Below are 15,021 nucleotides of genomic sequence, written 5' to 3' on the forward strand. Positions count from 1 at the left end.
CGGCCAGGATTAAGGCTCTTTAAGAGTTAGAATCTGAATACAACTGATTCTTACTAAGTTCCACTTAATAAATTAAGAAAGAACTTTGGAGGAATGAATATATCAAAGATACAAAATTATTTGTATGTAGTACTAGATTGTTTTTGTTCGTACATTTCACTATAGTAGGAATTCTCATTTGAAATAAAGAACTAAGCTATGACACATCTCCCTGTGGTTTCTCAGCCCACGCTGGAGGGATAAACACATAATCTCTCACATTCAAGCCTCAACTGAGCTGGGAGGCCACATCAAGTTTCACGCAAACCGCATTTCTCATTATTTTTGTGTATTTAAAAATGTCTGTTGCCAACTGGTCTTTAAAAAAAATCTTTAAAAGTAGCTTAAAACATACTGAAAAAACAGCTAAAATGCAGTAAGGAAACCAAAGCTTGAAACAAGGATCTATGTTCACAAAATTCATTTATAATATTCCACAAACTTCCACTGACCACCCACTATTTGCTAAGCCCTATTTTGGATACTGAAGATGTAATGATTCCTGCCCTCTTATTGTTTATACTTCAGTGGCAGCCCTCATAAATTCTCTTAACTTCAGATTTTAAACTCTAAAAAAAAAAATTCCTATATTATGGGCTATTTTGGTTTCTAATTTGAAAACTCTAGAATAAATAATTTTAGATATTAAAAATTACATATTAACCATTTCTTACTGAAAATTAAAGTGCAATGTTTAAATATTGAAATTTAACTACAGTTTAGTTCATACCTGCAATAAAACTGAAAATTAAATTCTGAATATAGAATATAAGCATATGTAGAAAAACTATATCAGAAAACACTAAACTATCATTTAAAAGAATGGAAGGGTAAACAGATTCTCAGAAATTATCAATAATTATCAACAATTATACAATACTAAAACATTTTGAACATTTTCTAAATACCAGACCCTGTGCTAAGTAATTTACATATATTATCTCATTTAAACCACACAGCAACTCTATACACTAAGCAATATTATAACCTCCATTATACAGATTTTAAAAATTGAGGTGTAATGAAGTTAAGTTACTTCCTTAAGGACCACAGTGGACTTAGATTCCATCCCAGGGAATTTGACAGTAAGCCTATGCCCTTAATCAACCTACTAGGGATTGTGCTATAGGGGTATATAAAGGGAAGAAGAAAAGTAAAAATCTAGCAAAAGAAACGGTTCTGAAAAACTGTACTGTTACCTATTCATTTTATCATGTGTAATTTCTTAATGATTAAAAAAAGCTATCTCCGGAAGTTCAATTTTTCCACCTCGAAGTAACTCAGAATAAACCAAGATTCACCCCCAGGAAATTAAGTTTAAGGAGCAAGACAAACCCATAGTGCTTTATTCCAAAATTCTTTCTGGATATTGAGGTTAGGAGAAGGAAGAAAAAGCACACCAATGATGAAAAGGTACACCAATGATGTAGAATAGGATCTTAGTATAAAACTCAGCAGTTCAGAGTTTTAAGGAACACTTCATTTTATTTGATTTCCACACAAGTTTGATAAGCAGAATAAGTAGTGTTAAGCCATTTTATAGATGAGAAAACTAAGAGAGGCCATGTTATCTGCCCAAGGTCAACAGGTATTTGTGCAGCAAGGAGCAGAAACCAGGATTTCCAACACTACGTTCAGTTCACTTTCTGACAGTGAAACAGTCAAATTCAACTGGCTTAATGTCAAACTGTTAAACAAAACCATGAATCTTGAAAGTTCAATTTGAAGGCAAGCTAATATTTCACAATAACAGGAGAGGCAAAACACTGAAAGTCTAACTTTAGAAAACTGCCCTCAGAGTTTAAGCCCTAAGTATTAACTATTTATGGTATTTTTTTAATACACTGCTAAAGGAGAAAAAAAATCGAAACCCTTATTTAGAAAAAGCCTAGACAGGCTGGGTGCGGTGGCTCACGCCTGTAATCCCAGCACTTTGGGAGGCTGAGGCTGGCGGATCATGAGGTTGAGAGATCGAGACCATCCTGGCCAACATGGTGAAACTCCATCTCTACTAAAAATACAAAAATTAGCTGGGCATGGTGGCATATGTGCCTGTAGTCCCAGCTACTCGGGAGGCTGAGGCAGGAGAATCGCTTGAACCTGGGAGGCAGAGGTTGCAGAGAGCCAAGATCGCACCACTGCACTCCAGCCTGGAGACAGATCGAGACTCCGTCTCAAAAAAAAAGAAAACAAGCCTAAACAACAAAGTTACCTTTGATCACAGTTGCTTGTTTTATAAACTATTGCTCTGAATTCTAAGACTATATAGTTATAATAATTAGCTTTAAAGTAGATGAGTATAAAATAATTTGTTAAACAAGATGGAATTGTCCAAAAGTATATTTGCCCCAGGAGGTTATGCTGGTAAAGCCCACCAAAGACACATGAGCGGTCTGACAAAATAAATTTACAAAATGACAAGTTTAATACTATGCATACTAAAGATATACATTTAAATATTTACATATATCTCAATAATACACCACAGAAGGCTTTAAAATAAACTTTCATTTTTAAGGCTGGGTACTGTTTCTGCAAAGCAACATAAGTACTTTTGATGAGCTGTGGGTTTTACAATAACCAATTATACAAAAATTTAAGATCCTGAGGTAGCACAAATTCAATAACACATCTGACAGGAAATTCTTTCTCCTGTATATATTGTTAATGCTTCTAATAATCAAAAGAATGATTGTTGTTAAAGCTCCTCTATAGGACACAGTCTTCATTTAACATGGGATTCATACATATTGATACATATAGGTGTAGTAGTTCACTAATTTTCACTGCTGTATACGGTATTTATTTTATGAATAATACCACACTTTTCCCTGCAGATGGACTTCGGAACTGTCCAAAGATTAAACCAAGCTTGCTACAAACATTCTGGTACAAATCTCAAGGTGCACATGTGCAAGGGTTTCACAAATGAATTGCAGATGTGTCCAAGATATCCATCTCCTCATTGCCCAGGGCCTAGGGTAATGAGATCCCCCTCCCCAGCCCCTGCAGGTTGGATGTAATGCTCTGGAAAAATTCCTAGAAGCAGAATTGTTGCTTGAAAGGCATGTGCAACTTTAACTTCTACTTAATGCCAACTCATTTTTTCTAACGTGATTGTTCTAATTTATACTCCCAAGTTCTAGTTGTTTATCATCACATTTCTTCCGAGGAAAGAAACAAAACTGTCATCTGCAAATAATGACCATCTGCACAGAAAGCTCAAGCTTCTTAAATTTTTGGTAATCTAATGAGTGAAAATTTGGGGTTTCAATTTGCATTTCCTTGATACCAAGCAAGGTTGAACATATTTTACTGTGTACTGGCCATTCCTGTTTTCTCTTCTGCAATATGCCTGCTGATATCTTTTACTCACTTTTCTCCTAGGTTATTTTCATCCTCTTTTTATTGGTTTATAGGGGTTATTCATATTTTCTGAACACTTAGCCTCTGTCTTATAAATCACTTAATTTTTCACGGTGTTGTTTGATTAAAAAAAGTTTTGACAAAAATTATCAATGTACTTATTTATGGCTGGTGCTTTTTATATCTTACTTAAGAAATCTTTCCCACCCTAAGGTCTTAAACATATTCTCTTCTACCATTTTCCAAAAAATGTATAGTTTTCCTTTTCACATTTAAATCTAATGAAGCCAAAATGTGAACAAGGTCTTCAACTATTTTTATTCAACATTATACTAGAGTTTCTACCCAGTATAAGAAACATGAAAAATTAAAAGTTGTATGGCTTAGAAGGAAAGAAACAAACTTACCATCTACCCAAAACAACTCGCACCCCCAAATACAAAGTAATAGAATAAGAGAATTTAGCAAGATGGCCGAATATGGGATTAAAATACTGCAAGTCAAACACTGCAGGTTTTTGGTAGATATCAGGACAAAGAAGCTGTCTTCCATTAAAAATTTGCTAAAACTTTTTACCCTGAATAGGTATTTAATTTTATGAAATGTATTTTCTGCATCTGACGATCATTTTCACTTTTAATACTTAAGAGTCAATTGCATGTAAAAGATTTTCTAATGTCAAGTTAACCTTTTAATTCTGGAATAAACTAAGTGTATTTTGTTTTTTATACATTGCTGGATTTGGTTTGCCACCATAGGCATACATTGAAGAATGTCTCCCAGGTAGAATGCCTTTTATTATCCAATATTCATAAGCCTTGCAAATATCAATAGCAAGTTTTATATATATAGGAAAACTTTATATTTAAGCTTGATACACATTTTAAAACAACGTGTGAGTAGATTCTCGAATTGCATTTCAAATACAATTGTTAGAACATCATAATTGTTAGAAATTTAAATTGTCTACACACTGAGGCTGTATGAACAGAGTATCGACAGCTAATATGCATGGCTTATATGTGTCCAGCATGGAGACGCCAAGTTACTGCACACAAGCAACTGTTAATTAACATTGTTTTCATGCCCACTAATGCAACATCCATTCTGTAGCCTGTGAATTAAGGAGTCATATCAACTTTTAAGTGTTATTGTTTAAGAAACACATTTTATAAGGTTATAGCTGCCATAGATAGAAGTTCCTTCAATTGATCTGAGCAAACTAAATTGAAAATCTCCTGGAAAGAATACACTATTCTAGATGCCATCACACAACATTCATGACTCATGGGAGGAAATCAAAATACCAACATTAACAGGAGTTTGGAAGAAATTGATTCCAACCCTCATGGATGGCTTTGAGGGGTTCAAGGCTTCAGAAGTAACTCCAAATGCGGTAAAAATAGCAAGAGAACTCGAATTAGAAGTGGAGCTTGAAGATGTGACTGAATTGCCACAATCTCATGATCAAGCATGAATGGATGAGGAGTTGATTGACTCCAATTTTGAAAGAAGTTCTACTATGGGTAAAATGCTATCAAACAGCATTGCATGCTACAGAGGAATCTTTTGTGAAAGGAAGAGTCAATAGATGCAGCAAACTTCATCGCTGTCTTATTCAAGAAATTGCCACAACCACCCCAACCTTCAGTAACCACCACCCTGATCAGTCGGCAGCTATAAACATTAAAAAAAAACAAACAAAACTCTCAACCAGAAAAAAGGTTATGATTCACTGAAGGCTCAGGCAATTGTCAGCATTTTTTAAGCAATACAGTATTTTTTATTTAAGGTATTACATTGCTTTTTTAGACATACTTAATAGACAATGGTATAGTATAAACATAACTTTTATATGCACTAAGAAACTAAAAAATTTGTGTGACTTGCTTTCTGGCAATATTGGCTTTATTGCAGTGGTCTGGAACCAAATTGACAATATTTCTGAGGTATGCCCATACATTCAATCTTTCTGTGTCCTATGTTCTAGGTGTTTCTCTTGTCAGTAACTTATAAACTATTAATAGACTTTTCCTCGTCTTTCAAAATATGCCCTTTAGATTAATCTAGATTAATCATTTAAAAATATTGAGGCTGCAGATATATTCACATTTACCATCTTATTCTGTTTATTCTACTGTTATGCATTTTCCTCTGGTTTCTTGTCATCTTTTGCATTGACTGAATTCTTTCTCATTGTTCTAGTTTTTTTCTACTAGTTTAGAAGATAAACAGAGTCTTGCTCTGTTACCCAGCCTAGAGTGCGGTGGCTCAATCTCAGCTCATTACAACCTCTGCCTCCCAGGTTCAAGTGATTCTCCTGTCTCAGCCTCCCAAGTAGCTGGAATTACAGGTGCCTGCCACCACACCAGGCTAATTTTTTGTATTTTCAGTAGAGACAGGATTTCACCACGTTGCTCAGGCTGGTCTCGAACTCCTGACTTCAAGTGATCTGCCTGCCTTGGCCTCCCAAAGTGCTGGGATTACAGGTGTGAGCCACCACACCCAACCACTTTCTATTTTTTTTGTATGTGGTTACCCTTGAAATTCTGCCCTCCATAATTAACTTTTAAAAGTGAGGTTAATCAATATCAATACATTTCCCCCAAATAATACGGAAGTGTTAGAATGCTTGAACGCTGATAATCTGCCTTCCATCTTACATGCTTTGTTATCTAGCATTATTCTTCTATCATTTTAACCCCACAAATTAGATAACTAATATATATGTCCCACTGTTTAGATTTATCTATGTTTACCATTTTCTCTGCTCACTATTCCTTCCTACATCTCAGACCCATCTTCTAAAATGAGTTTCCTTTTTTCCTGAATTACATTCTTTAGAAGTTCTTTTATTGGACGATTGCTGATAGAAAAATGTTTTTATCTGAGTATGTCTTGCTTTTACTCTAATTCTTGACAACAGTTTGAAAAGTCTGCTGTGGAACTCATTCATTTATAAGTGATCTATCTTCTCTCTAGTTAAGATCTTCTCCTCTCCTTTAGGATTCTGTAGTTTTTGTTGTTGTTGCTTTAGACAGTCTTGCTGTTGCCCAGGCTGGAGTGCAGTGGCATGATCTCGGCTCATTGCAACCTCTGCCTCCCAGGTTCAAGCGATTCTCCTGCCTCAGCCTCCCGAATAGCTTGGACTACAGGCACACACCACCATGCCCAGCTAATTTTTGTATTTTTAATAGAGATGGGGTTTCACCATGTTGGCCAGGCTGGTCTCAAACTCCTGACCTCAGGTGATCCACCCGCCTCAGCCTCCCCAAATGCTGGGATTACAGGTGTGAGCCACCGAGCCTAACTGGGTTCTGTAGCTCCAGTATGAGGTGTCTAGGAATGGATTATTATCTTGCTTGCTTGTTGTACTTTCTGGATCTGAGGATTTACATATCTCATTTATGGAAAATTCTCAGACATGTTTTTCCTACACTGTCTTTCCCTCATGCTCTTTCTAGAACTATTTAGGTTTACTGGATATGTTGGGCTAACTCATATGAAACTGCAATTTTACAGATAAAAATTCATCGAATATTGGCAATCTCACCTGGTTCAACCTAAAGACCTTTTATAAGTATTCTCTGCCTATCAATTCTTCTTTCATATTTTCCATTTTCTTTCTGAGATCCTTTCTGTGTACTCTTTGACTCTCTCTTGTACCTCACTATTTCTTCAGCTGCCTCAAATTGCTGTTAAGCACATCTTTTGGGTTTGTAATTTCAATGACTTTAAAATATTTGATAGTGCCTTCTTCCTTACTCACGTTTAAGTCCATCTTTTATCTCTTGAAAGATTTTATATATAACTATTTAACAGTCAATATTCAATAGTGCAGTATCTACAGTCCTTTATGGGTCTAAATCTCACACTTTGGTTCTGGTGACTCAAACTTTTGGTGGTTTACTTGTGTGATTGCTAACATTTTGAGGACAGGGAGCCTGATTTAATCTGTGGAAATCTGAGGGACCTAGGTTTAGACAGTTTCATCCATGGAGAATTTGCATTTGTTTTTGTTGGGTGTCAAAGAACACAAATTACCTGCACCTTTTTTTTTTTTTTTGAGACAGAGTTTCTGTCACCCAGGCTGGAGTGCAATGGTGCAATCTTGGCTCACCGTAACCTCCGCCTCCCAGGTTGAAGCGATTCTTCTGCCTCAGCCTCCCGAGTAGTTGGGATTACAGGCATGAGCCACCACGCCCAGCTAATTTTTGTATTTTTATTAGAGATGGGGTTTCACCATGTTGGCCAGGCTAGTCTCAAACTCCCGACCTCAGGTAATCCACCCACCTTGGCCTCCCAAAGTGCTGGGATTACAGGTGTGAGCCACCGTGCCCAGCCAACTCTTTCATTTCTTAACTTAGAGGTTCTTTGATCAGGCAGGAAATATAACTTAGAACCCCATACTCCTATGAGGCCAATACCATGGTAACAAATCAAGAAACGAGGCTATGCCAACTTCTTAGGAAGCCAGACAGGTTTCCTTGTTGACTCCTTTAGCCAACAGGTACATTTTTTTTCCCCCTAGCTTAAGCTTTCACCAGGGGGATGTAGCCACCTCAAAGTCCAAAGAGCTTTATCAAAAGTCTCAGATTCAGATCCCCACAGACAAAGTCTCCTATTCCCACAAATCTCCAAAGCTTTTGTTTTAGTATTTTGATCCCGACTTCCATGTTTTGTTTTGTTTTGTTTTAATGACTCTGATTTCAGTTCCCTGTTCTGTTTTGTTGTGTTGTTGTTGTTGTTGGCCCTTTATGTTTCCCTTAATTTTTGTGGGCTTAATGTATCTTAAAGAACTTTTAAAAAATATATCCAACATTTAAGTGTTTTATAGCTGTAGGGCTTTTCAAAGTATCTATTCTGCCTTACTACCAGAAACCTACATTTTCTTCTTATCAGTAAGTTCTAAGAGAAATGCTAGTGTCTACATTTCATCATATATATTCCTGTGTTGTATATAACTATTACAGCTTCATTAATTTAGGTAAATGGTAAAGAAAATCAGTCTAAATTTATTTAAAGTCAGAATTACAGAAATCATTTCAGAAAAAAATAAGGTTTGATTGACATCAACAACATTGAGGAGAGTATTCGATTTTGGCTATGTACATTTACCAAGTCATTTAAATTACAAGACACTAGTGCTTAAAAATACTTTGTTCTTCTAAGTGAACTGAGGATGACCCCTGAAATTTTTGTATTTATTTGTTAGGCAAATTAATAATTTTGGATAGACTGAGCAAAGTTAAGTTTTTTTGACCAAATAATAAGGAATTCTTAAATAGTGTAGAAAGAGATGTCTTATATAGGGTATAAAGAGATGTCTTATAATTTACATATATTGCAAATTCATCAGACTAAAATTCAGAGCATTATATCTACATAAAACAAGTATTTACCTGTCCTTAGAATAAAAGTTATAAACTCTCTTGCTCAACTAAACTAAATTACTTGACAGAGAAATGATAAAAAGGTGCTTTATTCAGGGAGTTTCATAATCAACGACTAGATTCAATTTCAGATATCCTGCAAAACATTTTGACACAAACAATTATAAATTCAATTTTTAAAAAATACCATTTAGCACTGAAAAAGGAAAGTTTGCCACGAGTATAAGATTAGTCAATTCTTTACCTCTCCAGCACTTGCACAGTCTTTGGCTCTTCTGTGAAGTGCAGCCCATGTATCCTCATACCTAAAAAAAAGCAAAAAATAATTTGAAATGCAAACCACACATTAAAAGGAAATACTATCTAAAGATGAATGTGGAATATCCTGTGGTGCTAGAAAGGAAACACTCAAAAAATAATGGGGACATGTTGCAAGGACACAGACGTCAACTTGACAGAGCTTCCAGTGGCCAAATCTGTGACAATTTGAGCAACAAAATACATAATGGTAGTAACAGATTATAACTCAAAGAATACAATATCCCTGAGTCCATGGTGATGTAAATAATTGAATAAATAAATCAATGAGAGAGAAGAGAAAAACTCTTCCTTATAATAGAAATCCAATTAGTAATTTTTTTTTTTTGAGATGGAGTTTCACTCTGTCACCCAGGCTGGAGTGCAGTGGTGCGATCTCGACTCACTGCAACCTCCACCTCCCAAGTTCAAGCAAGTCTCCTGTCTCAGCCTCCCGAGTAGCTGGGATTACAGGTGTGTGCCACCACGCCCTGCTAATTTTTGTATTTTTAGTAGAGATGGGGTTTCACCACATTGGCCAGGCTGGTCTCGAACTCCTGATCCACCCACCTCGGCCTCCCAAAGTGCTGGGATTACAGGCATGAGCCACTGTGCCTGGCCCCAATTAGTAATTTTAAAAGAAATGATGAGAAAAAAAATCTCCAATTGGTAAACACAATAGTAATAATTGTTTTAAAAAGAATTTTAATGGATGATACAACTAGTGGGTAAAAGCACAAAAAGAAACAGGATATTTACACAGCCTCAAAGTATCTGCCCATTGGATAATCATTAACTAAAAGTGAGAAAACAGTGTTAACTGAGGACAAACCTGGCAGACACATCCTTAATAAAGTGATCAAAATTAATGTCAACAGTAATGAGACACATCAACATTATGTGCCTCCTGATGTGATGCACTGGGAAGGATATAACATTACTCTTCTGGTATTCTTACCAAAAAAGTACTAACTTACAGTTAATTACAAGGAAATAGAAAAATCCAAATTCATAGACATTTTGAAACATAATTGGCCAGTACTTTTTTTTTTTTTTTTTGAGACAGGGTCTCACTCTGTCACGCGGGCTGGAGTGGTGTGATCACAGCTCACTGCAGCCTCAACCTCTTGGACTCAAGTGATCCACCCACCTCAGCCTCCCAAAGTGCTGAAATTACAGACATGAGCCACGATGCCCAGCCTTGGCCAGTACTCTTCGAAAGTACTGAGGTCATGAAAGACAAAGACTAAAGAATTGTTCAATGTTAAAGAAGGTAAGGGAGACATTGTGACTAAATATGATGTGTGATCCTGGATTGGATCCTAGTACAGAAAAAAGGACACTGGTGGAATAATTGATGGAATCTGAATAAGGCCTATGGATTAAGGTATTTACTAATGTTAATTTTCTGGTTTGATCATTGTACTGTGGTTATATGAAATGCTAACACTGGGAAAGCTGAAATTGCTTGTTCTATTTTTGCAATTTTTTTGTAAATCTGAAATTATTTCAAAATGAGAAGTTAAAAAATAAAACTTCTAAACTACTATTCATTTGATTGCTGATGTAAAACCTGATTTCCCAATCTAAAATTCTAGCTATCCAGCGAATATTTCTCCAAACAGGAATACATATTTAATGAGTTCATACTGCCTCCCCTCATAGTCAGATTCACAATTTTTCTACTGAATTTAAGTAAGAAAATCAATCTGAATAATCCAGGTGATACTAGAGTCCACATGTGATGAAAATTAAGGTGGAAGGTCACACAAATAATACAGTCCTGCTGTCATTGTTGACTAACAGAAAGCTAGAAAATTTTCTTGGATGTATCAGATTATGTAAGCATCAATTAAAATCAACAAGTATTTACTAAATGCTAAGCACTGTTAGGCACCAGAACTGCTGAGATATAAATTTTACTTTTGCATCTTTGTTATCCTGGTAGTTAGCACAGAACCTAACAAACAAGAGACACATTAAATGTCTGTTGAGTGAGGAAATAGACTAATTATAAATTGAAAATTCAGGACTTCGTGGTAAAATTTTCTATCATTTTCTTAACTCAGTGGGAAAGAGAAAATTAATCCTCACTTGCCAAATTTAGACTCCAGATCACTTTTCCTAACATCTCACCATTTCCTTTTCTCCCCGTTATTATGTATGCTTTTCACATCCACCTTGCCATTATACATCACCCTCCCTCATTTCTACTTTCCTAGTTCAGCACCTAGTTCATTCATGATTTTCCTACTGTTTTCAGCATTCTCTAAACCTAGACTATCGCAACCATTCATATTCTCTGCTCTACTTTTACGACATGAAGCAGTTTGGAGAAAGGCACTAAATCCATTACAATGTATGCTATCCAACCTCGCATGGGCCTTAGCTGCCAATCAGCACTTAAAAAAAATTTATTGCTATTAGATTGTTCCCTGAAGTACACACAGCAGGTATTACACATCTCATGCCGCCTTGAAACTCATCCCCATCCAATCACTTTCAACAGATGGATGAACTTACTCCATTTTACTGAGATAAAGACACTGGATGTAAACTCCTTCAATTTTTCTGTGTTCAAACTCAAACGTCTTTAAAAATCACAAGTCAATGATGATGAAATGAAGAAGCCACATTCATAATGTGTAATTCTTGCATTCAAATCGTTATTGAATATATTCTATGTATACCATGGGAAGACTAGTGGAAGTGTTCACAATACAGTTAGGAAGATGAACACACAGGTAAATAATTACCTTACTTGGTAGACAAAGGAAAGGACTAATTATATAGCATTAGAGCTATAGGAATATAGGAAAGTAACTGTAGACTGTGTTGTACTACACTCTTTGAAACATTATGATTTAGGAAATAGAGAGAAGATGTCAGAGTAAGAGGCATCTAGAATCTGTCACCCTACCTAGACCACAATCACATTGGCAGAATCTGTCTGATGTAACTATTTTGGGACTCTAGAATCTATTAAAGGCTTGCAGCTTCCAGGGGAAGGTTTGGAGGGTAAACTGAGGTTCATTTCAGTCGACTTCAGGTTTTAGCACAATGACAGCTACCCATCCACCACCCCAACCCCTGGACAGGTAGCCATGCACTTGTTCCTGAAGTAGCTTGTACACGGCTTATGAAAGTCAAGGTGGGCCAATAAGGACCCTGTGCTCCAAACATCAGGGAGTCTGTGCTCTGATCACAATTGCTGCTTCTAATCAGGGAGATGCAGACACAGAGGCAGCTACTGTTGCAAACCCCTCCTGCTATGGCTAGCAATTTTCAGAGGATTTAAAAGGCCAGCGTCTGGTTTTGTCCCCTTTCTTTGTTCCCCTTTCCCTCTTGGAGAGCCAGACACTTAAAGACTAGGACATTCAATAACAGATGCAATTGTTTTTTGTTTTGTGGTGTGTGTGCGTGTTTTTGTTTTTGTTTTTGTCCCAAGATGGCTTACTAGGAATATCAAAAGCCAGTTTTTCTCAAAAAATAGATCAAAGTTACTGGTGAGTGGACAAATTCTAGACAGAAAACTGAGGGAAGGGAGCCAGGACCTGTCAGAGTGCCCAAGGGAAGAAGCTGGGGTGCAGAAAAGGAAAGCAGCAAGACTCTGGCAGAGATTGACCCTCAAGGACCTTGGAGCCCTGTGGAAAGGGTAGGTGGGAGTAGTTCTCTGCTCCCCTTACCCCTCCAACAATCTCCTGACCATCAAACTGTTGGAGAGTGCTCCTCTGCCCTTGTGACCCAAAGCAATACTATTGATGGTGACTTGAAAACCTCCTGGGGCTGGAGAATCTGGTGGCCAACTCGTGTGTACATGCGTGTCCACACTCCTCTCAGGTGCCAGATACCATACTTGTCGTGCGCCAGCAGTGGGATGCTGCCCTGCCCAGGGATTCTCTGCCCTTGAGTCACCACACCACCAGATTCCCTGCAAACACACCTCACAGACCACTCTAACTTTGGCAAGCACAGGGAACCAGCAGTTCCCCAGGTAACTGTGAGATCTCTGGAGATCTAACCCCCTGCGTGGGCCATCCCTAAGTGGAAGAGAGTGCAGCCCATCAAAAGCACACCTTGGGACAAAGGAAATGCAGGCACAGTGCCAACTGCTACAAGAGGAAGTATCATTACCCAGGAATGGATGTGGGGAAGGGGTCATCTCCTGCATCCCCCTACACTGTTGCTGATGCAGCAGTGTTCTCTCTGCCAGGGGCCAGCACATGCACTCGGACACACAGCGTATTTCATGCATCTTGTAGCGGCTCCACCTCTACTGAAAGTGAGCCCTGCACAGCTCAAGCTTTCAGGAAGGGTAGGGCCCAACTCCCCTTCCCTACACAGAGCAGCAACACCCCAGCAAGGGAAGACAAGTTGCAGAGTTGTCTGCTCCCATCTGGAGGAAGAGACTCTCCCTGAGCCCATTTTGGTGGCAGCCCTCAGAGGAGTGTACCCGCAACCCGCAGCCAGGAACCAAAGGACAAAATCTTTATGAAATGAAGGTTGGGAGCCTTGTGACAGGGGCATGATAGGAAGTGGATCACGTTCCTGCCAGCACAGAATGAGGAGTGGGTGTACCCACCCACCTTCTCCCCCAAGACCTCAGCACACCCCACAGGATCTCTTCCCGCCACCATCCCCTGCCCACTCAGGGCAGGTGCTTCCACCCAACGCCAGCCTACCTGCCGGCTCTTACTCTTAAATGCCATCTACTGGACTGCAGCCTGAACTGCATCACCAAATAAAAATCTGCTAAAAAAGGGCTTAGTGCTAGGCAGTCCACAAGATGAGCCCCCTGGGATCTCCACACCCTCAGCTCCACAGGAGACAAGGTGTTAGGTGTCAGTTCTTAGAGCCAATACATCACTACAGTAAGCAGCATCTGAGAAAGTCACTACACAGAAGCTATCCATAACCAAGGACCCCATATAGCATTTGGCTCTGTGGAAGCACCCAGAAACAAAGGCAAATGATAATACACAACATATACCACAGCCATACCCTTAAGGAAAAAAAAGTCACATCCAAATGATGGCAAATTCAAAATAAAAAGAGACAGCTTCCTCAAATGAGAAGGAATCAATGCAAGAACTCTGGCAGTACAAAAAGCCAGGGTGTTCTGGCATCTCAAAGGATCACATTAGCTCTCTAGCAATGGATCCTAACCAAACTGAAATGTATAGGATGACCAATAAAGAATAAAAAATACGTATTGCAACTAAACTCAACAAGATCCAGGAAAAAAGTTGAAATCCAATACAAAGAAACCAGAAAACTGATTCAGCACATGATAGACAAGATAGCTATATTACGAGAGAAACAAATAGAACTGCTTGAATTCTAAAATTTACTAAAGGAATTTTAAAATATAGTTAATAGGCTAGACAAAGCAGAAGAATTACAGAGCTTGTAGACCAGTCATTCAAATTAACCAAGTCAGACAAAAATAAAGAAAACTGAATTTTTAAAAAATGAACAAAGCCTTCAAGAAATATGGGATTATGTAAAGCAAACAAACCTTTCACTTACTAGCATTCCTGAGAGAAGAAAAAGTAAGGAACTTGGAAAACATATTTGAGGGAATAATCCAGGAAAATTTCTCCAATCTTGCTAGAGAAGCTGAAATCTAGAATCAAGAAATTCAGAGACTCCTGAGAGATACCATATAAGATGACATCCCCGAGACAAACAGTCATCAGACTAAGGTCAACATGAAAGCAAAAATCATAAAGGCAGCTAGAGAAAAGGGCCAAATTACCCATAGAGGAAAACCCATCAGGCTAACAGTGGACTTCTCAGCCGAAGCTTTACAGTCAGAAGAGACTGGGGGCCTATTTTTAGCCTCCTTAAAAAAAAAATTGCTGGCCAAGAATTTTATATCCTGTTCATCTAAGCTTCATAAACAAAGAAGAAATGAAATCTTTCC

At 37.8% G+C, this 15,021-nt stretch overlaps 1 protein-coding gene across 8 annotated transcripts in view, besides 2 other annotated features; it reads right to left on the reverse strand.

Annotated features, from left to right (window-relative positions):
- The window catches only part of DTNBP1 (dystrobrevin binding protein 1), a 140,252-nt gene that overhangs the window by 105,895 nt on the left and 19,336 nt on the right, over nucleotides 1-15,021 (reverse strand). For all 8 annotated transcript variants that reach the window (NR_036448.3, NM_001271669.2, NM_001271668.2 and 5 more), the window contains one exon: nucleotides 9,043-9,103. Coding sequence is in view for 6 of the 8 variants with exons in the window: in NM_001271669.2 (NP_001258598.1) it covers nucleotides 9,043-9,103 (61 nt within the window). In the remaining 2 variants the exon portion in view is untranslated. The remainder of the gene's footprint in view (nucleotides 1-9,042; nucleotides 9,104-15,021) is intronic.
- Nucleotides 2,933-3,133: a silencer, noted in NCBI's record as "peak5684 fragment used in MPRA reporter construct". NCBI's record gives its function as "represses an SCP1 promoter by STARR-seq MPRAs in K562 erythroleukemia cells {active_cell/tissue: K562}" and the evidence as "EXISTENCE:reporter gene assay evidence [ECO:0000049][PMID:32103011]".
- Nucleotides 12,762-12,952: a silencer, noted in NCBI's record as "fragment chr6:15641694-15641884 (GRCh37/hg19 assembly coordinates)". NCBI's record gives its function as "represses an EF-1alpha promoter that drives an FKBP-Casp9 reporter gene in an ReSE screen in HepG2 liver carcinoma cells and phorbol 12-myristate 13-acetate-treated (for megakaryocytic differentiation) K562 erythroleukemia cells {active_cell/tissue: HepG2 | K562(+PMA)}" and the evidence as "EXISTENCE:reporter gene assay evidence [ECO:0000049][PMID:32094911]".

Source organism: Homo sapiens, chromosome 6 (genome assembly GCF_000001405.40).
Source record: "Homo sapiens chromosome 6, GRCh38.p14 Primary Assembly".
In the NCBI taxonomy this organism is placed as follows: domain Eukaryota; kingdom Metazoa; phylum Chordata; class Mammalia; order Primates; family Hominidae; genus Homo; species Homo sapiens.